The sequence below is a fragment of the Homo sapiens genome, chromosome 9, assembly GCF_000001405.40.
Source record: "Homo sapiens chromosome 9, GRCh38.p14 Primary Assembly".
NCBI classification, from domain to species: Eukaryota; Metazoa; Chordata; class Mammalia; order Primates; family Hominidae; genus Homo; species Homo sapiens.
The window spans coordinates 93,262,732-93,286,319 of NC_000009.12; the positions used below are offsets into that span (position 1 = coordinate 93,262,732).

Below are 23,588 nucleotides of genomic sequence, written 5' to 3' on the forward strand. Positions count from 1 at the left end.
AGCCTCGACCTCGCAGGACGGGTGTAGGGGCGCAGGCCTGTACAGCCACTCAGCCTGGCTCCTGCTGCTGCTTCCCCTGGAACCCACTATAGTTTGCCCTGATGCCATTAGGGGTTTTTCAAACCTGACCTGGTGGAGCCTCAGGGCCCTCCTCTCTGGGTCTTGCCAGCTGTTGTTGGAGTTTGGTAGCCAGAGGCCCCTGGCTGGGCTCTGGGTCTCTGCTCTGGTTTGCAGTGCTGAGAATGTTCCAGAACGGAGAGGCTATGGGCGGAGTTGGCAGTGCCCAGAGACTAGGAGGGGGCTGGGAGGGTGGCCCCCTGTGTACAGGGCTGAATCCAGCCCCGATCCTGGGTTTCCTGGCCTCCTGGGCTGTGGACACAGGTGTTTCAGGAAATGAACCGTGTCCTTATTTGAACTGTGACCATTTGTTCCACCCTCCTGGGGTGCTGGGCACTGCCTGGGCTTGGCATTTTGCAAACTGCAAAACGGATTGGCCTCACAACAGTGGTGGGTGTGTTTCTGTTGCTGTAGCACAGATGGGGAAACTGAGGCACAGGGGCTGATTCGCAGGTCAGGAGACTGAGAGGATCAAGGTAACGCAGCTAGTAGCTAGGAAGCCTGTGCTTCCTTCTGCCCGTGCCACTTGGGTGCAGCAGGGAGCTGGGTGAGGGCCCAGAAGCAGGCTTGGGGTATTCGCACAGGACGGGCTGCCTCTGTAGGTCACAGATTTGGGCCCTGGAGACTCCAGACTGTTCCAGATAAGCTGACTTTCCCCGCCATTGCCGACGTGCTGGTTGTCCTTTGGTGCCATTAATGTTCTTGGGTTTTGCTCAGCTATGGAGGTTCTGATGTCACTTCTGGAAAAGAGCTGAGTGACAGCTGTGAAGGCGCCTTTGGAGGGGGCAGGCTGGAGGGCAGGGCAGCCCGAAAACACCACCGCAGGTCCACGCGTGCGCGCTCCCGGCAGGAGAGGGCCAGCCGGCCCCGGCTTACCATCTTGAACGTGAGTGGGCGGGGCGTGGCGGGGGTGTGGTGGGGGTGGGGGCATGGTGGGGGTGTGGTGGGGGTGGGGCCGTGGCGGGGGTGTGGTGGGGGTGGGGGGGAGGGGTACTTGGGGGTGTGTGGGGGTGTGGCGGGTGCACGTGTGGGTACGCCCGTGGTGGGTGCTGATGCTGCCCCTTCCAGGTGTGCAACACTGGGGACAAGATGGTGGAGTGCCAGCTGGAGACGCACAACCACAAGATGGTGACCTTCAAGTTCGACTTGGACGGGGACGCACCCGATGAAATTGCCACGTATATGGTGAGGCTGGGTCTGGGTGGCTTGGCTCCCGGTGTTTCTTGGACACGTGTGGGCCTGAGCAGAGCGCCACAGGTCACATGTCGAGCCTGGCCTTGTGTGGAGGTGTCGGTTGGCCCAGGGGCTTTTCGGGACAGTGCTGACCTTTTACGCCTCGGGCTCTTCCCCACACTGGGCGGAAACCCCTTGGGTTTGGAAGAACAGCTTGAAGGATGTTCTAACCATTCTAAGATGCTGCTCCCTGAGGGCTTCTGGAGCATCTGAGCCCTTCCTCCAAATAAAAGGAAGCCTTGTGGGTAGGTTCCTTGAGTGAGGCACGGGAGGGCATCCCGGAGTCTGATGTCCTGTGGTCCTTGCTTAGAGCTTCCTCCAGCCTCCCCAGCTGGAGTGCGGGCTCTGAGCCCTGACCCATGTCCCATGTGCCCACCCAGCTCTGCCTGCATCTCCCTCTGGAGCCACCCCTCCCTGCCTGTGCAGACCAACCTGAGTCCATGAGCACCTTGTAGGCCTTCACAGCCCCACACCTGTGGTCCCCAGCACCTGAGCCAGGCTAGGAGTGGGGATCGTTTTCGGGCCCTCAGAAACTCTCCAGCTGAAAGCACGCACGAAGAAACATGGAAAGGATGTACATGTGGTCCTCAAATTTCCTGGTGCATCCGTGACTGCCTCCCAGGAGAACATTCTCCCCAGACCATTATTCCTGCATCAGTGAGGTTTAGGGAGCCAGGTCCTAAAGGGGCCAGCAGCACACTGGACAGTGTTGTAGCGCTCACTCCAGATGGCCACCAAGTGCCTGGAGTAGGCCGGCATGAGTAGGGAATAGAATATACCACTCAAGTTAATATCATAGATTGCCCCACGTGCCTGCCTGCGGCTGCTGCATTGCACATCATCAGAAAGCTGCCCCCTTGGGCTGCATCCCCCTGGCCACCCCTGCCCTGGCTTCGTGAAAGCCTCATGTGGGCTTTGCAGGGGGAAGCCCCTGGCTTTCTGCTCCTAGGGAGCAAGTCCCTGCCTTAGTGTCTGCTTTGCAGAGACACCTTGGACAAAGCCCTCCCAGATCCCAGGTCCAGAGCATAATCCCCCGCAGCATTAGAGAAATTCTTCTGACGCTTGCTACAGTGGTCGGGAAGACTTTATTCAGGACTGTGGCAATAAGCGAGAGAGAATGAGTTTAACTCCAAATGCAGCAGAGACCACAGGGGATTGGTAGCAGAGGAGCAGTGTGGTGATGGGTGGCTGGAAAATAGCTAAGAGGAGACATCAAGGTCAGGGATTCTGGAGAAACCCTCGTAACAGGATCCTTGCTGGGGGTGGGTGAGAGGCTTTGTTCAACCTCAAAGGTGGGAGATGAGGAATATGGTCAGATACAAAGGCTGGGAATTCTTTCTACAACTGGCTTAGGCTGAAGACATGATGGGGCCTAGTCAAGCCTAGTTGGAGGGTCAGAGGCGTGAGCTGCGCTTTGGTCAGGGAGGAGTCTTTGTCAGCAGCAAGCAGCTGGTTCGTCAGCGCAGCACAAACACCAGGTCCTCACTGGGCCACTGAAACTGGAGAACATTTCTTCTCTCATCTTACTGTGTTTTAAACCTGTGTCTTGTATTACTTTATACACATGTGTTTCAAACATGATAAAGCATAATAATAAAGTGAACACCCGTGAAGTTATCACTCAGCCACCAGCTGATGCTGCATGTGCGGCTGACGCTTCCAGTGCTTGCCTGCCCGAGCAGGAAGCCACACATGCGACATCAGCCACATCAGCCTGTGTCGTGTCCACTGGCCCCCTGGTTTTCAGTCTTCTTGTGTGTCTCTGTGTGTGAGTCTTTGTGAGCTGCACACATGTAAGTCCTGCACAGTAAGCAATGGGGCTATCTTTAGCTGTGTGCTTTGTAAAAATAGCATCTTCTCAGCCTTGTTTTTTTCACTCAGCACTCGGATACTCCTCTCATTTTATTGCTTTTTCTGCCATCTTAGTAAACCAAGTCACCTAACATACCTGTGTGAAGTAAGCATGCTACAGATATACAAATTTGGTCCATAAAAACAGCCCAGCAGCCCTCCTCCTCACAGCCCATTCCTATCCCAGGGACAGACTGGCTCCAGAGGTTCGAGTTGAAGGGTGGGTGTGTGGCCTGTGGGACAGGCGCTGTTTAGACAAGCTTCTGCCCGCCCTGTGGACTGTCTTTCTGTGAGTGTGAGGTACCAGCTGTCCCTGAATGTCCCATCAGTGGTTAGAGGTCGGCAGGCCTTGGGTTCATCATTCTGACCATGACGACCTTGCCAGCCCCTTAGTAAAGGTGGAACTGCAGAAGTTTCATTTAATTGGCGTGGATTCTAATGCCAGGTTTTACCTGGACCTTGTATTTTTAGATTTTTATTTTGTTTTCAAGTTAATTTTATTCTCAACATACTTGAAAAGAAACATAATAGGAAAACATTTTCTAGTTGCAAAGGGGTTCTAGTTCAGTTTTGTTTAGTGAAAATTTCACAAAATTGGAACGTTGCTTAAATTCTCGTATGTGGCACTCCAGTCACAGCTGGCTGGATGTTCCAACTTTGGCCACAGTGTACTCCTCTTAGACAACATTGCAGTCACATGTTACACTAAATTAAGTGGTGAATCACGGAACACAGCACAAGCCAGCACTTTGTCTGGAGGTGTATGCAGGTGGTGCTCCTGGGGTTGGGGTCTGGGGTGCCAGGGGAGTGTGGAGCGCAGAGGAGCTCTGCTTTTCAGCCAGCTGTTTATAGTAGGGCAGATGTGCCCATCCTAGAAGGGATCTGAGACCACAGATGCCCCAGGCAGGGCCTAGAGCATCTCGGTGACTGCAGAGGTGTCTGCCTGGGAGGAGGTGCCATGGCAGGAAAGGGGCAGGGTCTGGACCCCACTGGGTGGTGGCACAGGCTGACCTCTTCCATTGGTTATGGTTTTATGAGATGCACAGCATTTTCTCTGCCTGAATGGCCGAGGATTTAGCCAGAGCCGGTGTGAGCCCAGGGCCACATGCCCACTGTGAAAGTTGGAGACTGTGGACATCTCCTGAGCCCCTGGTCTGGAGGCTTCGTGGCATTCAGGCTGTGGTGTGGGACCTCCCCTCAGCCATGACAGGAGCTGCTCGTTGGACATCAGGCCACGCTTGCCTGTGTGCCCGGGCCATAGTTGAAGGTCAAAGCCTGAGGCTGGGAGAGCAGGGGGTGCGCAGACCGACAGGTGACATATGGCCATCCTGCTATAACCTTCCCGTCCCCCTGTTGCTTTCTGTCCCCCACAACCTCCTGCTGGCTGGAACCTTTGCCTTCAAATCCATCCTTCTTGTCTGTCATGACTGCCTGGGCACCTGTGCCCAGATGGACCCCCTCCCCTCTTCCCAGTCCCCGTCCTCGGCCCCCTGCATCCTATGCACTTACCTGTTCTGAAGATGGCTGGACCGGCCTCAGGGTCTGTAACCAGCTCCAGCTGGGGCAGGGCATTGCTGGCCCAGGTCCCATGCTTGGAGGAGGGAGTTGCTTCTCAAGATGAGGCTGCTCTCCTCCCATCCTGGGGCCATCCATGTCACTTGCTGAGCTGTCCAGCCCCTGTCTTGGGGACTGCACCCTTTCACCATTCTTCCCTTGGGGCCTGGTACAGGGTAGACATCCGTCAATCCAGATGAAGACCTAGGGTGGTCTTGGCCTTGCAGCTGGTCCTCACTGGCAGTATGTCCCTTTGCAGGTGGAGCATGACTTTATCCTGCAGGCCGAGCGGGAAACGTTCATCGAGCAGATGAAGGATGTCATGGACAAGGCAGAGGACATGCTCAGCGAGGACACAGACGCCGACCGTGGCTCCGACCCAGGGACCAGCCCGCCACACCTCAGCACCTGCGGCCTGGGCACCGGGGAGGTGAGGTTGTGAAATCCGGGGTGGGAGGTGGTGAGAGTGCAGTGGCTGGGCAGGTGGGCGCTGCAGCTCAGTGGGCTCATTTCTGACCCTCCACCTCATTCAGGAGAGCCGACAATCCCAAGCCAACGCCCCCGTGTATCAGCAGAACGGTGAGTCTGCAACTTCCCTCCCTGCTTTTAAGCAGGCGTTTGATGAAAGTCCCCACTCAGCATATTACCAGGGGTTTGGCCATTGCTTGGGGGGATTATGGAAGCATGTGGTGACCAGGGGCCCCAGTCTGGGGACAGCTGCCCTGTCCGAGGAGCTGTCACCTGCAACCGGCATCACGGCCTTCATGGATGGTGCCTTGGGCATCCCAGGAACCAAGCCTACGCGAGGGGTCCTCTCGGGAGCTTCGGGGGCTGCCAGTGAGGCACCCCAGGTTCTGCTGTGCACCCCTTGCCCTCTGGTGTGAGGGAAGAGCAGGCAGAAGCCCATCACCAGGGCCTCTTTACCAAGGAGCCTGGGGAACCACCTGCTTCGTGGAGGGAAGCGTTGGGGATTAATGACTGGGAACAGTGTTCTCTGCCCACACCCTTCCTGGAGAAAATCCCATAGGTGTAAAGGAGTTCACAGACCCACTGTGGCAAGTCTGGTGCAGGTGATGGGGGTCACACTGGCCTGGAAAGGCGCTCACTCACTCAGCGTGCTGTTTCTGTTCTGCCCTTCAGTCCTGCACACCGGGAAGAGGTGGTTCATCATCTGTCCGGTGGCTGAGCACCCCGCCCCCGAGGCCCCTGAATCTTCGCCCCCACTTCCTCTAAGCTCCCTGCCGCCAGAAGCCAGCCAAGGTATGAGCAGCAGGCGCCCACACAAGCCCCTCCCTGTTTCATGTACAGGCCTCCTTCTGTGCATGACCCAGCCGGTATGTGCCCCGTGCCCAGGTCCATGCAGGGGGCTCACCCTGCCCTGTCTCCCATGGCGCAGAGCAGCCTGTGGGGCTGTGTTCCTATCCTTGTTTTCTGCTGAATCAGCTCAGTCAAAGCAGCCTCCAGGTTTGAGTCTGCCCTGTTACCCCACCAAGTAGGTGGCTCGCATGGCCATATAGGTGTGTGTTGAAGAGCTCCGCTGTCCTTCCTTCACAGTGTTAACCTGGCAACTCCTTGCTCCTGTCCCTTTCCTCTGTGCCGCACACCTGCAGCAGACACGCCTCTGCTGGTTCTGCTTGCTTTGGGGGGTGGGGTGGGAAAGTCCCTGTTGGTGCTGAGACTCTGATTTTAAAGTGTTCACACAGACATTTATCACTGTGCATTGATCTGCACCTGCACCTGCCTGTACAGATGCCAACAAGCCCGTGCTTTGGGCTGTCAGTTAAATCTTGTTGGTCCTTTGGGAGGCTGAAAATAGTCACTTGAACAAATTTAAGGTTTAATTCCTTACCAGTTGGCAGGGGAAAGTTACTGATTCTATAACTTGACATAACCTTATGGCACATTCATGAAAAATATCTGTAAATCATTTTTAATTTTATGTCATGTGCTTCCAGTGACTCCCATTATCTTTTGGAGATTCGTTCCCATGGGGGACAGGTCAGCCTAATAACGAAATCCAAACAAAGCAACGAGCTGAAACAAGGTGATCTCAGGTAAAGGGCTTGGCCTCAGCCTGGGCTGAGAAATCAGAGAGAAGCAGCCTTGCCTACAAGATTGAATTTTTAAATAAGTATATGTTCGTATATTACTTCTGGATTTTAATACATACACACCCAATTATAAGAAAAACCCTCCTAAGAGCTAATTTTTCCTGTGATGTAGGGGTGCAGGGGACACTGTGGTGTAAGTTTAGGGGACAGTACGGTTAATAGAATGAAATTAAACCCTCTTTCCTTCATCTATGCACTGAGTGACCTCAGGAAACCTTTTTGAGCTGGTCTTTTTTCTATTTAAAAAAAAGGAAAAATTGGTGGCAGATCTGTTAATTTAGATAAACCATCCACTGAGAATAACCAAAAAATGATAAAAGTCATCTGTGTGAAGGCATTTGAAATCTGATCATAGTGGAGAATTATTAGGCTGGGGTCCTGGGAAGGATGGAGACATAGGGATGTGAACCTAGTTTTGGCTCCTTTTCCCCAGGGAGCATCTCCCATTCCTGCAGGGGTGGCTGAGAGGCCTTGTGGCTTCAGCAGCTTCATCAGGCTAGAGAAAATGAGCTTATAGAGTCCAGGGCCCTGAGGGTGGTCCTGCTGAAGCGCTGTACTGGAGAAGGAAGGACTAGCTGGAAGGAGATAGGCCTGCAGAGAGAGGAGCCCACCTCAGAGCATCTCAGCCCCTCATTAGGACGGTCTTGGAGTGCCGTGGGTTCAGGCATGTGCACGGAAGGCCTTTCTGCAGGAAGGAATATTATTCTGGGCCTCACATGACTTGTATGACCAATTTTGTGAATACAATATCTGGCACATAATAAAATGACCAAAGAGTTGGGTGCTGGGTAAGGTAGAGAAAGCACACACATCCATTTTTCTTTCCACTGAAATGCACTGTAAATCCTGGATTGATGTGTGACACAGCTGTCTGAGTACTTGGGAAAATTTTAGCAGTGGGAAGATTGGGGATGCACCCCAGAATTCAAAGTGCTACTGAGCTGGTGGTGAGTTGAATGATTTCCTCTGATATTTCCTGGTCTGACTGAAGTACAGCCCAAGGAGCAGAAGCAAATGCTTTGGTGCAGGCAGGAAAGCCTCCAGGAGAGATCCTGTAGTTCCATCTCCCAGACCAGGAAAGGCAACTCCTAAAGCTCAGAGAAGAGAGAGAACCCCTCCCCATTGCTCACCCCCCTTCTCTTGCACCAGCACGCCGACAGTTCTGGAGGTAACAGGAGCAGCAGGTAACAGGAACATGCAGGAGCCAAAACAGTGAGAGCAGAGAACCATTCTTTATTTGAGGAAGCCAGGACTCTAGGAGCACAAAACCAAAACCTGTCACATTTTTTTTCTCTGTCCTCTTGCCACCTTGTCATTCATGGCACAGCCGCAGAATTGGGTGGTTTCTGTTCGAAGGTTTGGAAAGGTGAGTCCTAGGGAACCAGGAAGTATCATGGAGAGCACAGAAAAGGAGTTTGGGAAAGTAACCCTATAAAGTTGTTTATGGACTCCTGGGCTCACCCCCAACCTGTGCATGCATGCATCTGACCCTAATAGCATATAAGAAACTTGGGCAACTGAGCTAATGAGTAGACCTCGCCCAGGTTCCAGTACACCTGTTTCAGATGAGATTAGTACTGGGAAGGCATTGAAAGTGGAACTGACATGTAACCACAGCCCATAGAAGGCGGGTTGCAACTCGCAGTCTGAACCTAACTAGGTTGATTGCCTACTGAAGCAAAAATATTAACATTCATCATAAGGTTTAAACAAGTCTCAGGATTTCCTAATGTCATTGAAAATGTTCAGAATAGAATTCAAAATAATTTATCAAATGAAAAGCCATGAAAATGTTAACTTGCATGGAAAAAGGTAGCCATGGTGCCAGTGACAAGACGATGTAGATTTTGGGATGATCTGACAAAAACTTTAAAGCAACTGTTATAAATATAACTGAAAAAGCAATGACAAACATTCTTGAAACAAATGATAAAGTAGTATCTGCAAAGAAACAGAAGATGCAAAGAAGAAACAAATGGAATTTTTAACATTGAAAGTTAAAATACCTGAAATTGTCCCACTGGAAAACAGGGGAGAAAGATAGAGAAAAATAAACAGAGCTTCAGGGAACTGCGGAACAATAACTAAAGGGCTAACTTGTGTGTCATTAGAGTCTCAAAAGGGAAAGAGAAAGAATGCAGTGCTGAAAACACATTTGAAGAAATAATGCTAAAAATTTCCCAAGTTTGGTGAAAGACGTAAGTCTACAGATTCTAGAAGCTAAGCAGACCCCAAATAGGTTAAATGCAAATCAATCTGCTGAAAAGTAAAGACAGCCAGACAAAAATTATGCATTACCTAGATTGGAACAGTGATTTGAGTGACTATAGATTTCTCGCCAGAAAGTGTGGTGTACAGAAGAAAGCAGCAGGGCATTTTTAAAGTGTTGAAAGAAAAAACTGTCCATCTAGAATTCTGTTTCCAGGGAAAATACCCTTCAAGAATGAAGCTGAAGTAAGGCCATTCTCAAATAAAGAAAACTAAGGGAATTCATGGGCTGCACACCTACTCTAAAATTAGAATTGTTAAAGATCTTCAGACAGAAAGGAAATGAGACTAGAAGATAACCTGGAACATCCGGGCTGAAGGAAGAGCAACAGAAGTTGTAAATATAATAGACTATTCTTCTCCTCGAGTTCTTTAAAACATTTCTGACAATTGAAGTAAAAAAAAGATTATAACAATTTAACCTTCCATTCCACCAGTGTGGCAAATGGAAGGTAAACTACTAATTCCATGTAGACTGTGAAAAGTTAAGTATATATTTTGGAATTCCTAGAGCAACCACTGAAAGAATTATACAAAAAGATGTGTATAGGCAAAATCATAGTAGATAAGATGAACTAAAAAAATTCAAAGGCCGAGCATGGTGGCTCATGACTGTAATCCCAGCACTTTGGGAGCCCAAGTTCGGGGGGATCACCTGAGGTCAGGAGTTTGAGACCAGCCTGACCAACATGGAGAAACCTCGTCTCTACTAAAAATACAAAATTAACTGGGTATGGTGGCACATGCCTGTAGTCCCAGCTACTCAGGAGGCTGAGGCAGGAGAATCACTTGAACCCGAGAGGCGGCAGTTGCAGTAAGCCGAGATCGCGCCATTGCACTCCAGCCTGGGCAACAAGAGCGAAACTCCGTCTCAAAAAAAAAAAAAAAAAATTCAAATAACCCGGAAGAGGAAATGAGAAGAGAAATAAAATATTTTTAATTAAAAAACAGAGAGAAAAAAACGAAAGCAAACAGTAAAATGGTAGACCTTAATCTAAGCATACTGATAATTAACCTCAAGTTAACAGTTTTAACACGTCAATTAAAAAATGATTATGAGAATGGATTAAATTTAAAAACCAAACAACTTGAGCTAAGTACATGCTATCTATTAGAAACTTCAAGTACAACAATACTGATGAACTGAAAGGTCAAAAGAAAAAGGATGGTGAAAGACAGACCATGCAAACACAAATCAAAAGAATGCTGGGTTGCCTGTTTTAATTTCTGACAAAATAGACTTCAGAGCAAAGAAATTACCAGGGTTAAAAAGAGACTTTATTTATTTACTTATTTAGTTAGTTAGTTTTTGAGATGGAGTCTTGCTCTGTTGACAGGCTGGAGTGCAGTGGCACGATCTTGGCTCATTGCAACCTCTGCCTCTTAGATTCAGGCGATTCTCCTGCCTCAGCCTCCCGAGTAGCTAGGACTGCAGGCACACACCACTGTGCCCAACTAATTTTGTATTTTTAGTAGAGACAGGGTTTCACCATGTTGGCCAGGATGGTCTCGACTCTTGACCTCATGATCCACCCGCCTCGGCCTCCCAAAGTGCTGGGATTACAGGCGTGAGCCACTGTGCCCGGCTGACATTACGTATTTATAAAGAGTAAATTCCTCAAAGGACATAACAGCCCTAAATGTGTATACATCTAAAAGCAGAGCTTCAAAACTAACAGAACTGAAAGCAGAAATAGACAAATCCACAACTGTAGTTGGAGACTCCAACACTCTCGATAGATAGAACTAGTAGACAGAAAATTATCAAGAATATAGAAGATCTGAAAACACTATCAACTAACTTGACCTAATTGACATTTATAGAACACTCCACTCAAAAACAATACATTTTTCAAGTACGTATGGAACAATTAATATATCCTGAGTTATAAAACAAAACTTAACAAATTTAAAAGTATTGAAATTATGTCAAGTATGTTCTCCGATACAGTGTAATATAAAATTAAATAACACTTCTAAATAATTTACAGTAAGAGAAAAAGTTGGAAGGAATATTAGAAAACAATTTGAAATGAACAAGAGTGAAAATACAGCATAATAAATTTGTGGGATGTAGTTAAAGCAGTACTTAGAGGGAAATTTATAGTACTAAAATGCTTAGATGAGAAAAGAGGTCTCAAGTCAATGACTCAACCTTCTACCTTAAGAAACAAGGAAAACCTATAGCAAAATAAATCCGAAGCAAGCATAATGAAGAAAATAAAGACAAGAGCAGAAAGCTGTGATATCTAAAACAAAAATCACAGGCAAAAACCAATGAAACAAACTTATTTTTAAAAACGTTAGTAAAATGATAAACCTCTAGCAAGACTGCAAGGACAAAACAAAATACCAATACTAAAGAAAGCACATAAGGCCGGGTGCAGTGGCTCACGCCTGTAATCCCAGCACTTTGGCGGGTGGATCACGACGTCAGGAGATCGAGACCATCCTGGCTAACACGGTGAAACCCCGTCTCTACTAAAAGTACAAAAAATTAGCTGGGCATGGTGGCGGGTGCCTGTAGTCCCAGCTACTCAGGAGGCTGAGGCAGGAGAATGGCGTGAACCCAGGAGGTGGAGCTTGCCGTGAGTCGAGATCGTGCCACTGCACTCCAGCCCGGGCAACAGTGCAAGGCTCCGTCTCAACCAAAAAAAAAAAAAAAAAAAAAAAGAAAAAAAACACATAAAAGACCAATATCAGGAATAAAAGAGGTATATTACTGTAGATAAAGGATAAAAGGATAATACTGCAATAGTCTGAACAAGCTTACAGACAGAAATTAAACAATTTAGGTGAAAGAGACTAATTCCTCAAAAGCCATAAACTACTAAAATTCATCTAAGATAGAATAATCTGAATAGCCCTGTACCTGTTTTTAAATTCATTCTTTTAATAATGAATTTGTTGTTAAAAATCTCCCCAAAAAGAATTCTCCAGGCCAAAATAGTTGCACTGGTGAACTCTGCCAGACATTTAAAAGAGATTCAACACCAATACCACTTCCACAAAATCTCTTCCAGAAAATAGAGGAGGAAAGAACACTTCCCAAATCATTTTACGAGGCCAGCACTGCCCTGATTTTAGGACCAGCCAAAGACAGTACCAAAAAAGAGAATGATAGACCAATAAGTCTCATGAACATAGAGGGCAAATATTCTCAAAATATTAGCAAGTCAAATTCAGCACTATATTAAAAGGACAGTGTGCCATGAGAAAGTGGGTATATGCTGGGAGAGCAATATTGAAGAGTCAGTCCACCATATTAATAGTCTAAAGAAGGAAGAAACATATGATCATAACAGTTGACACAGCAGAATCAGTTGACTAAATACAACATCCATTCATGACAAAAATCCTTGGCAAACAAGCCAGGCACAATTGCACATGCCTATAGTTGTAGCTACTTGGGAGGCTGAGGCAGGAGGATCACTTGAGGCCAGGAGTTTGAGGCTGCAGTGTGCTAAGACTGTGCCTGTGAATGGCCACTGCATTCCAGCCTGGGCAACATAGCAAGACCCAGGTATCTTAAAAAAAAAAAGTAATAATTCTTAGCAAACTAGGAAAATAAGGGTACTTCTTCAGTCTGATTAATTTAAAACACACATACATACACACAACATAAAAACCCACCGTTTCCAGCATATTTAGACCAAATGTGTTCTCCCTAAGATTGAGAAACAAGGCAAGAATATGTTTTCACCTATCTTATTCAGCATTGAACTGTCTTAGCCAGATTTAAAGACAAGCAAGAAACAGAAGTGAAAGGCATGTGGATTAAAAAGAAAGAAATAAAACTATCTTATTTGCAGATAACATGATTTCATATGTAGATGATGACATGGATTCTACAGCAACAACTTCTAGAACTAATAAGTGAGTTTAGCAATACCATAGGATACGCAGTCATCATACAAAAATACCTCAATATTTGTATATACTGGCAGTGAACAATTGAAAACCCAAAATTTGAAGGCTATACCATTTATAGGAGCTCCCCCAAAAGGATTTACATAGATCCAAGTTTAATAAAACATGCAGAATCTGTATGCTGAAAACTACAAAGTACCGATGAAATGAATCAAAGGTTACCTAACTAAATAGAGAAGCATACTGTGTTCATGGATTGGAAGACTCAACATAGTAAAAATGTCACTTCTACCCAAATGGATCTGTAGATGCATTGCAGTAACAAAAGTTAAAGCAGATTACTTTTTGTAGATATTGACATTCTAAAATTTATATGGAAGTACAAAGGAAATAGAAATGGCTAAAATCATTTTGAAAATGGAGAATCAAGTTAGAGGGATCACATTACTGAATATTAAGCTTACTATAAAGTTACAGTAATCTAGACAGTATAATATTGGCAAAGGGATTGGTACACACATCGGTGGAACAGAATGAGCCCAGAAATAGACCCACACAAATATGACCATTTGATTTTGACAAAGATGCAAAAGCAATCCAAGAAGAGATAATCTTTTCAATAGATGTTGGAACAGTCGGTCATCCTTATGCAGAAAAATGAACCTTTACCCTAAGCCTCACATTTTACTCAAAACTTAATTCAAAGTGGATCAAATGTAAAATGCAAAAACTGTGTAAGTTTTATAAGGAAACATTGGAGAAAAATCATTTTTGATCTGTGCCAGGCAGGAGTTCTTAGACCTGACACCAAAAGTATGATGTATAAAAGAAAAAATGGATACATTAGACAATGTCAAAATCTTTTGCTCTGTGAAAACTACTGTTAAGAGAATGAAAAGACAAGCTACAGACTGGTAGCCAATAATGGCAAATCACATATCCAACATAGTGTCTGTGCTAGGAATATTTAAAGAATTCTCAAAACTCAACAGTAAAATGAGCATAAAAAATGAGCAACTTGGCTGAGTGCAGTGGCTCACACCTGTAATCCCAGCACTTTGGGAGGCCAAGGCGGGTGGATCATGAGGTCAGGAGTTCAAGACCAGCCTGGCCAAGATGGTGAAACCCCATCTCTACTAAAAATACAAAAATTAGCCGGCCGTGGTGGCGGGCACCTGTAATCCCAGCTACTCAGGAGGCTGAGGCAGAGAATTGCTTGAACCCAGGAGGCAGAGGTTGCAGTGAGCTGAGATCGCGCCACTGCACTCAAGCCTGGGCGAACGAGCTAGACTCCGTCTCAAAAAAAAAAAAAATGAGCAACTCACTTGAGCAGATGAGCAGATACTTCACCAAACAGGATATAAGGATGGTAATTAAGTACATGAAGAGTTGTTCAATATTATTGACTACTGGGGAAATGCAAATTAAAGCAGCCACAGGGAGGCATCACTGCACACCTGTTAGAATGACTAGACTGACTGCATCAAATCTGGGTGTGGCTGTGGAACAGCTGGAACTCATACATTTCTGGGGGTATGTAAAATGGTATAGCCATTCTGGAAGACAGTGAGGCAGTTTATTATAAAAGATATACTTGCTATATGTCATAGCAATTTTACTCAGTTTTTACCCTAGAAAAATGAAAACTTATGTTCACTTAAACATCTATGTATGAATGATTGTAGTTTTACTCATAATTACCCAATTGCCAAAACTGGAAACAAACCAGTTTTCCTGCAGTGGGTGAATAGATAAAAACTATGGTACTTTGAAAAAGAAATATATCATTGGTAAATTGATCAACATGGGTGAACCTCAAAGGCATTAAGCTGAGTGAAAGAAGCCAATCTCAAAAGGCTTCATACTGTATAATTCCATTTATAATGACATTCTAAAATGCTAAACTATAATGATAAGGAACAGGGTCAGTGCTTGCCAGAGACTAGGAGAATGTTCCTATATAGGGAACATGCAAGGAGGTGTTTTGGGGTGATGGAATTGTTTTCTATCCTGATTGTGGTGGTAACTAAATGGATACATGTGTGTCAAAACTCATGGAACTCTACCCCTAAAGAAAAAGTTAATTTTACTGTATGGTAAGTTTTAAAGTTCTTTTAAGTTTACCTGTGTTGAAAAAAGATGACCAGGCAGATAATGAGACAGAAATAAGATAGCATAAAAGAGAAGCAGCAGAAACCACCAACAATAAAAAGGGCCCTTGTACTTCTGCTTTAGGCCAAGATGGAATAATAGTCTCTAGATTTGTTTTCCTTCAGAAAACAACTTAAAAAGCATTCAAAATTTATATAACAATGTTTTTTTCAAGGCTTCGAACATCAGTCAGTGAAGGACCCTGCAAGACTGAAAAAAAGTCACTACAGTTATCTCAGCCTACTGCCTTGAAAAAGTTTCTATTCCAGAGCAGGGAAGGAAGAGCCCAGGCAGAGCTTGGGAGATTGTGGAGTGAGGAGACCAAGCTGAGAGTGTGGAGAGACCCAAATGTCAAGAATTTCCAAGGCGGAGTTCTGGAGAGGAGAGAGCTGCGGAGAGAAGAGTCTGAAGATAACGGGTGATTCCCCTGGATGATTTCGCAGAGCACTGTGTGTGAGGAAACTCACCCAGGCTGAGGAATGACCCACCACGAAGGATCAGAGGGAGTGGACCCGGGAACTCACACAGGCCTGGGAATGTCTGTTCCTGCCAGCCAGCTGGAAAGCCTTATAATTCAAGGGGTTTTGGGTACAGTACAAAAAAGGCGCTTGCCTCAGTCCTGGAGGATAATTAGCCCTAGACTAAGTGCTTCTCTTACCTCACCTGTCAGATCTTAAGAGCAGGATCTGAGAAGATCCAATTGTTTCAAGGTAACTTAACTGCATCCCACAACACACTTCAAGAATGTTTATAGGAATACAAATTCATCCAGCACCCAATATGTTAAATTTTACATTATCTGGCATCCAATCCAAATTATGAGACAGGACAACATAAGAAAAACCCTACCTTCTAAACCAAACCATAACTGATACAGACATTAGGATGAGCAGATTAAGTACATTAAGACAGTTACTATAACTGTAGTTCATATGTTCAAAAAGCTATAGAAGTGTAATTCACCATATTGATCAACTAGAAAACAAAGAAAAACAATTCATATGGTTGTCTCAATAAATGTAGAAAAAGCGGTTGACAAAACCCAACAATTATAAACATCTTCAGAAGACTTGGAATCGAAAGGAACTTCCTCACCCTGATGAAGGGAATATACAAAATCCTACAGGCAACATCATACTTAATGGTGAACAGCCGAAAAGCATCCCCCAAAGATTGGGAACTAGGTGAGGATGTCTGTTCTTCCACCTCTCTTCCTCATTTTACTGGAGCTTCTGGGCAGTTCATAAGGAAAGGGCATAAAACACATCCAGATTGAAAAGGAAAAACTGAACCCATCTTTATTTGCAGAAAACATGTTTGTGTAGAAAAACAAATGGAATCCCCAACACAACTAGAATCAATAAGTGAGCTGGGTAGTAAGATACATGATCAATATATGAAAAGCTGTTGTATTTCTGTATGCTAACAACAATCAAAGATTGAAATTCTGAAAATTATTTTTGTATGGATTATTTAGGGTTAAACCTGACAGAATATGTGCAAGATCTGTACAGTGAAAACAGCAGAACAATGCTCATGGAAATTAAAGAAGATCCAAACAAGCGCCCTGTTCATGGGTCAGAAGACACAGTATTGTTACAGTGCTAATTCTCCCTAAATTGACCGACAGAGCCAATGAGCTGCAGTCAGAAGACCAGCAGTCTTTGTAGAAACTGAGAAGCCAACTCTGAATTTCACATGAAAACACAAAGGGCATGGAAAATTGGAAACAGAACTAAATCAGAGAACTAACAATACCAGATTTCAATAATTATTATAAAACTACAGTAATCAAGACAATGTGGTATTGATGCAAAGACAGACAGATAGATCAACAAAATGAAATAGTCTGGAAATCAACCCACACAACCTACAGATGTTTGGTTTTTGATAAACATTTAAATGACTTTCAGGAAAGTGAGGACAGTCTTTTCAGCTTTGTAACAGTTGATCATCCTTATACACACACACAAAAAAGGATGTTTATTCATACTGCATACTATATACAAAAATCCACTCAAAATAGAATGCAGACCTAAATGTAACACTGAAAACTATGAAACTTATGGTAGAAAACCTAGGAGAAAATTTATGTAACCTTGGGTCAGCAGAGATTTCTAAGATACAACATCAAAGCATGATCTGTAAAACAAAAAATTAGTAAACTGAATTCGTCAAAGTTTAAACTGTCTACTCCTTGACAGACACAAAATGAATGAAAACATAAGCTAGAGACTAGGAGAAGATATTTTCCAAGCACATATGTGATAAAGGTCTTGTATCCAGATATCAGGAACTCTCAAAAGACAGTAGTAAGAAAATAAACGATCTATTGAAAAGGTTGGTACAGATGCTTCACCAAAGATATGTGGATGCCAAAGGGGTGTATGAAAAGATGGTTATTCAGTAGGGAAATGCAAATTAATACCACAATGAGACACCACCGTACACTATTAAAATAACTAAACTTTAACAGATCATGTGTTGGCGAGGCCATGGAGGAGCTGGAACTCTTAGGCACTGTATGAAATGGTACAGCCACTTTGGAAAACAGTTTGTTAATTTCTTTAAAAAGTAAATGTGCAGATACCATGTGATCCACCCATTTTACTTCTGTGTACTTAACCAAAATTAGTTAAAACAGATGCCTATACACTGCAAAGGAATGTTCATAGCAGCGTTATTGATAATAGCCAAGACCTGGAAACGGCTTAGGTGTCTATCCTTCACATTTCTTGAGTTGAAATGTGCAGCTCATGAATGCTTTTGTGTTAATTTCATCTTCATTGAAGTCAGATCCTTTCCCCAGGATTTGAGGCTGGGGCTTATTTTCTTCAGCACTGTGAGGACAGCACTATTCCTTGTCTACTGGCATATGTTGTCTGTACTGTGGCAGAAGCTTCCAAACTTTTAAAGAACCTGTTTTTTCTCTAACATTCTTTGAATTTTTCCACATGCTTTTGTGAAACACTTTGTGGTCTACCCATACACTATAATGCTACTCTGCAGTAAAAAGGAATCAATTGTTGATACACATTGCAGCATGGATGATTTTCAGAATAATTATGCTGAATGAAAAGACACAAGGAAGAATGCTTGCCATGTGACTGGACATATATAAAATTCTAGAAAATGCAGTTATTTGTGGTGGCTGAAAGCAGATCAGTAGTTGGGAACAAAGGCGTGGCAGGAAAGGAGAGGGAAGAACAGACACAAGGTTCACAAGGAAACATCCAGGAGGGTGATGACTATGTTCATTAGATTGTGATGATTTTACTTATATGCCTGTGTCAAAACTTAGATATGTGCAACTTATTGTAGCAGTTATACCTAAATAAAGCTATTAAGATCCAAACAGCAGTAACAGAGCATGTCAGCAGAGGTTCCCAATGGTGGAGTTATCAGACTGAGAACTAAGTTTGCCTACTGCATTAAAAGAAACAAATGACTAGATTGAAATTTTTGTCAAAGAATTAGAAACTATGCCAAAAAAAAAGCTAAATGGAAGTTGTAGAACTGAAAAATACATTAGTTAAAATTAAGACATCAGAGGATGGATTGTACACTGCCAGAGAGAGAATCGGCAAGCTCTAAAGAAACTAAAGTAAAATAAGGATAATGAAAACAGTAGAAAATAGAAAAGAGGTGCTAAGAAATATAGAGATTACAGTGAGATGGTCAAACATCATGTAATTGGAGTCCCAGAAAACAAGAGAATGCAGCAAAAACAAGTTTGAAGAGATAATGCAGAGAATTGGAAGGCATGAAGCCACTAATTCAAGAAACTTCCAAACTCTGTAAGTTAAAAAAGAAATCTGCACTTACATATATCATAAAGTGCTGAAAATCAAAGGCACATGGGAAAATTTAAAGGATGCCCAAGAAAAAACAGGTCCTTTAAAGGTTTGGAAGCCCCTGTCTCAGTACAGATAACATATGCCAGTGGACAAGGAATAGTGCTGTCCTCGCAGTGCTGAAGGAAATAAGCCCCAACCTCAAATATCGGTAAAAGGATCTGACTTCCATGAAGATGAAATGAAGAGAAAAGCAGTCATCACCTTCACAGCTCAATTAAAGAAATACTAAAGGGAATATTTTTAGACAGAAGAACAATGACTGCAGATGAAAGGCCAGAATGCAGGTAGGAACAAAAACTGATGGAATTATAAATGTATGAGTAGATCTAAGTGAATTTTGACTGGATGAAAAAATAATGTCTTGAGGTTTAAAATGTTTGGCATGTTAAAATGCATGAAAATGGGGCATATTTATCAGGAGGCAGGAAATGCATTTAAAGGGCTCCAGGATTCCATGTTGCCTAGGCAGAGAGCCAAATCAAGAATGCAAATGATAGTCTCTAGAATAACCCCTGTGAGACTCGTAGAATAGCAGATAACCTCCACACTTGTGGAGGGGGCAGGTGGGGAAGGAATTTTTTAAAATATGGCAAAGAAGGAAAGAAACAGCAACACTGAACATGGAGAACACATAGAAATCTTTAGTAAGATGCTAGTTTTAACCCAAGTAGATCAGTAATTAAATGTAAATGGACTAAATCTCAAAGATTCTCAAAAGTGAAAAAAAAAAAACAGAACAAAGACATAAGATTATAAAAAGATTAAGAGTAAAAAACAAAAATGGAAAAAGAGCACACTAATACTCACCTAGAGGAAGCTAATGTCTATATTTTTATATCAATGTAGATTTTAAGGCAAAAACATAATGGTGAAAGATTCAACTGGCCAGGAAGATATAATAATTTAATGTTTGCTTATATTTAGTAATAAGCCCTCAAAATGCATAAAATAAAAATTAACACAACTAAAACAAATGGAGCAATTTACAATCATGGGAGATTTCAGCTTTTGGAATAGGAGACACTCAGTAGGGATAGAGAAAATTTCAACCACAGAATTAGTATCTTATATATACAGGACACTGTACTCAGTAGCTGAAGAATGCACTGTTTTTTCATGCACACAGAATATTTTTAATTTAACTTTACGCAGACCCAAAACAAATCTCAACAAGTTTCAAAGAATCAAAATCACTTGATGCATGCTTTTGATTAAAGTTGGAAGTAAACCCAAGCTCATTAACTAGAAGATAACTAGAAAATATCCACATTTGATAGTTAAGCAGTGCATTTATAAATATCTCATTCGGCAAAGAAGAAATTACAATGGAAACTAATAAAACATTCTGAATGATGATATGAACATCATGCTAATGAAAATATTACGTATCAAAATTTGTGAAATGCAGTTAACAGCATATTGAGCAGAAACTTTGTAGCCTTTAAATGCATATATTGGACAGGAGAAAAGTCTGATAGTAATAAAAGTATGTAGTGCAAAAAGTTAGCATAAGAGAAAATGGAACCCAAATAAAGAAAGGAGAAAGTAAAATAGATAAGAACATAAATTAATGAAATAGTAAACAAATATACAATAGGGTATCAACAGAGCTTAGCAACGGTTCTTTGAAATGGCTCATAGCATTAGTAAGCCCCCTGTGATGAGACTGACTAAAGGAGAGAGAAAGACATAAGTAATCAATATTAGGGATGAAAAGGGGGAGACACTGCTACAGTCCTACAAACATTAAGACAAATATAAGAATTTGAAAATTTCTTTGGATTATGTCTTAGGGAACTACAACTTACCAAACTTAAGAAGAAATAGAAAATCTGAAAGGTGCTATAAACATTAAAAAGTCAAATCAGTCATTAGAAGCCTTCTCATGTCTACCCTTCATGGTGACAAGATTGCTGGAACAACTCAGTGTGTATAGTCTTTCAGGTAGAAAATAGAGACCCTTTTTGAAAGGTTTCATACATCTGGCCCTGACTCCCATTATGCAGAACAAGGACACATTCTCTAAAGCAGTTGTGGCTGGTGGCTGGAATGTACACTGACTTGTGCCCAAATTGCAGGCATAGCCCTGGAGTTAAAGTAGGGGACAGTTGTTCCCAAGAGGAAATTTGGAGTGCCACTACCCAACAAGGAAGCAAATGGATGCTGCATAGTTAAAAAACCAAGAAGTGTTCACGATAATGAGAAAGATGGACTCACTCAAATGTTAGGGAAAGAGAAATCATAGTTGAAGAAAAGGCAGTGAGAAAGAAATCAGGCACATATGTTTGGACCTCTTGGCCTCCATCTCAGTGAGTGTCAACACACAGAGGTGTGTATAAGGGGGAAAAACCCTTCCTATAAGGAAAAGTTTCAGCTTGATGGCTTTACCACAGATACTTAAGTGAGAAATAATTCTGATCTAACCCAACTCGTCCAGAGAACAAAGAAGCTTGTTTTATCAAACTAGCGTAACTTTGACACAAAAATCTGACTGAGAACATTATAAAATAGGAAGATAACAGGTCAATCTCTTCCTCTCCCATCAACACTTGCAAAATACTAAACAAAATAGTAGCAAATTAAATCTAGTGATACATGAAAAGAGTATGTATGACAAGTTACTAAGTTGCAGTGATTTCAGAATGCAAGGTTGGTTTAACTTAATTCGAATAAATTTATTCACTATATCCCAATAGATGGGAAATTCTGTTTTTACAAAAAACAAACAAAACAAAACCAGCAAATATTCTTAATGGTGAAATGTGGAATGCTTTCTCTTTGAGATGGGGAACAAGATAAGGATGCCTATTCTCAGCACTTCTATTAAGTATCCTGTGTCCTAGATATTGCAGGGGAGCGGGGGGTGGGCAGGAAAGGAAGGGAAGGGGGAGAGGTAAAAAGGGAGAAAGAAAAAGAAGGGAAAGCAGTGGGACTGAAGAAGCTCACGCCCTGCTTCATGCAGGTAAATCTGGATTTCTGGGGGTAGGACCCAACCTGCAGCCCAGTTTAAGAGCCAATGCCCTGACCACTTTTTGTAAATATGTATAAGGAAGTGTCATGGTGGTGTCACAAACACTTTATTTTTCATTTGAAGAAAATGCCATTGATTTCTAAACAAGGTCTTCCAAAGAAAATGTTTGCTTATTTGAGTTGATACCAACTTGAGGTTGGTGTTTTTCTATTATCTACTCCAATATCAACCACTCTGTAAATGGAAATAAATACATAATGCATGTCACATAGTAGACACGCAGAGCTGAATGATTGTTCTGATCAATATAATTCTATATAATGTTACATAAAAGGTAATATTCCTTTTAGCATTACTATTTTTTGTTAAGAATTTGGACAAAGCAAGATAACTTCTTTGACTCAGAAGCTCTACCTATAAAATTACTGGGCTAAATAGCAGTTATTTCCAAGGAATACATTTGCTAAAACTCTTTCTATTTTGAAGTAGAAATAATCGTGGCCTTTTGGTAACACTATAATTTTATCATTTTGCCTCAATATCTAATGGTATTAAAACAATTACTGTTTTAAAAAGTGATAAGGATTGGAAAGGAAGAAATAAAACTACCACTGTTGGCTGATAACATGATTATATACATAGAGATTTAAATTTACAGATAAATTGGAATTAATAAGTTAGCAAAGTAGCTACAGACTGCAGTTATCTTTCTGTATACCAACAACAATCAGAAAATAAAGAATATTGAAAAATTCAATTTATAGTAACACAAAAATGCCAAACACCAGTGTATGAATCTAACGAAAAGTATGTAACATCTGTATACCAAAAACTACAAAACATTGAGAGAAATTTTAAAAAGAAATGAGTAGGAAGATATGTACCATATTCATGGACTGGAAGATTCAGTATTATAAACACTTCTTCCCAAACAGATCTGCAGATTCAGATTCTAACAATTTCTAAATGAGCATCAACACACTGATTATATACTCTTTACAGAAATGCAAAAACCAGTAAAAACCAAGACAGCTTCTAGGGGAAGGATACCATTCTCCCAGATGTTGTGACTCATATAAACCTGGAGTCACAGAGACAATCTGGTCCTAGAACAAGGGTAGAGAAATTGAGCAATGGAGTCAAGCCAGCTCAGAAGCAGGCCCACATCTTTGGACACGTGGTTGACAAGAAAGGTCCGATTGTCAAACAGTGGAGACCGGGTGGTCTTCTCAACAGAAAGAGTTGGGATAGTAGGCTGTCCACACAGGGAGATGATCCTCATACCACACACAAAACTCAGTAACAAGTCGCTTGTGAATCTCAATGTAAAAGGGAAAACAGTAAAGTTCCTAGAAGTAATAAGAGGCAGTATCATTATGGCCCCCACGTAGAACACATACGTTAAAGTTCAACAAAATATGCAAATGGAAAGACTGGCTAAAAATTGGTTAAATTTGACTGTATTAAAATAAAAAACTATTGTTTATCAAAAGACACCACTAATCGAGCACATAGGCGAGTCACGGAGCGAGAGATTCTGTAGTACAGATAGCCCCCAGACAGTTCTCTACCCAGCATCATGAAGAACCACAAATTAAAAAGAAA

At 42.9% G+C, this 23,588-nt stretch overlaps 1 protein-coding gene and 1 long non-coding RNA gene across 52 annotated transcripts in view, besides 1 other annotated feature; one reads left to right on the forward strand and one right to left on the reverse strand.

The window, feature by feature from the left end:
• Window positions 1–23,588, forward strand: part of WNK2 (WNK lysine deficient protein kinase 2) — a 136,431-nt gene that overhangs the window by 78,593 nt on the left and 34,250 nt on the right. For 50 of the 51 annotated variants that reach the window (NM_006648.4, XM_047423745.1, XM_047423751.1 and 47 more), the window contains 5 exons: window positions 835–1,003; window positions 1,186–1,302; window positions 5,015–5,185; window positions 5,289–5,334; window positions 5,896–6,015. In NM_006648.4, the coding sequence (NP_006639.3) occupies window positions 835–1,003; window positions 1,186–1,302; window positions 5,015–5,185; window positions 5,289–5,334; window positions 5,896–6,015 (623 nt within the window). Of the gene's footprint in view, window positions 1–834; window positions 1,004–1,185; window positions 1,303–5,014; window positions 5,186–5,288; window positions 5,335–5,895; window positions 6,016–6,108; window positions 6,220–23,588 lie in introns of all 51 variants that reach the window. The other variant, NM_001282394.3, reaches the window with a different exon arrangement.
• Window positions 138–806: an enhancer, noted in NCBI's record as "H3K27ac-H3K4me1 hESC enhancer chr9:96025151-96025819 (GRCh37/hg19 assembly coordinates)". NCBI's record gives its function as "activates a minimal SCP1, AML or CMV promoter by ChIP-STARR-seq in naive H9 embryonic stem cells {active_cell/tissue: H9 hESC(naive)}" and the evidence as "EXISTENCE:reporter gene assay evidence [ECO:0000049][PMID:30033119]".
• Window positions 2,417–5,930, reverse strand: LOC124902214 (uncharacterized). Its single transcript, XR_007061668.1, has 2 exons — window positions 4,711–5,930; window positions 2,417–2,849 (listed from the first exon to the last, which is right to left on the reverse strand). It is a non-coding gene; the product is annotated as an uncharacterized LOC124902214 (long non-coding RNA).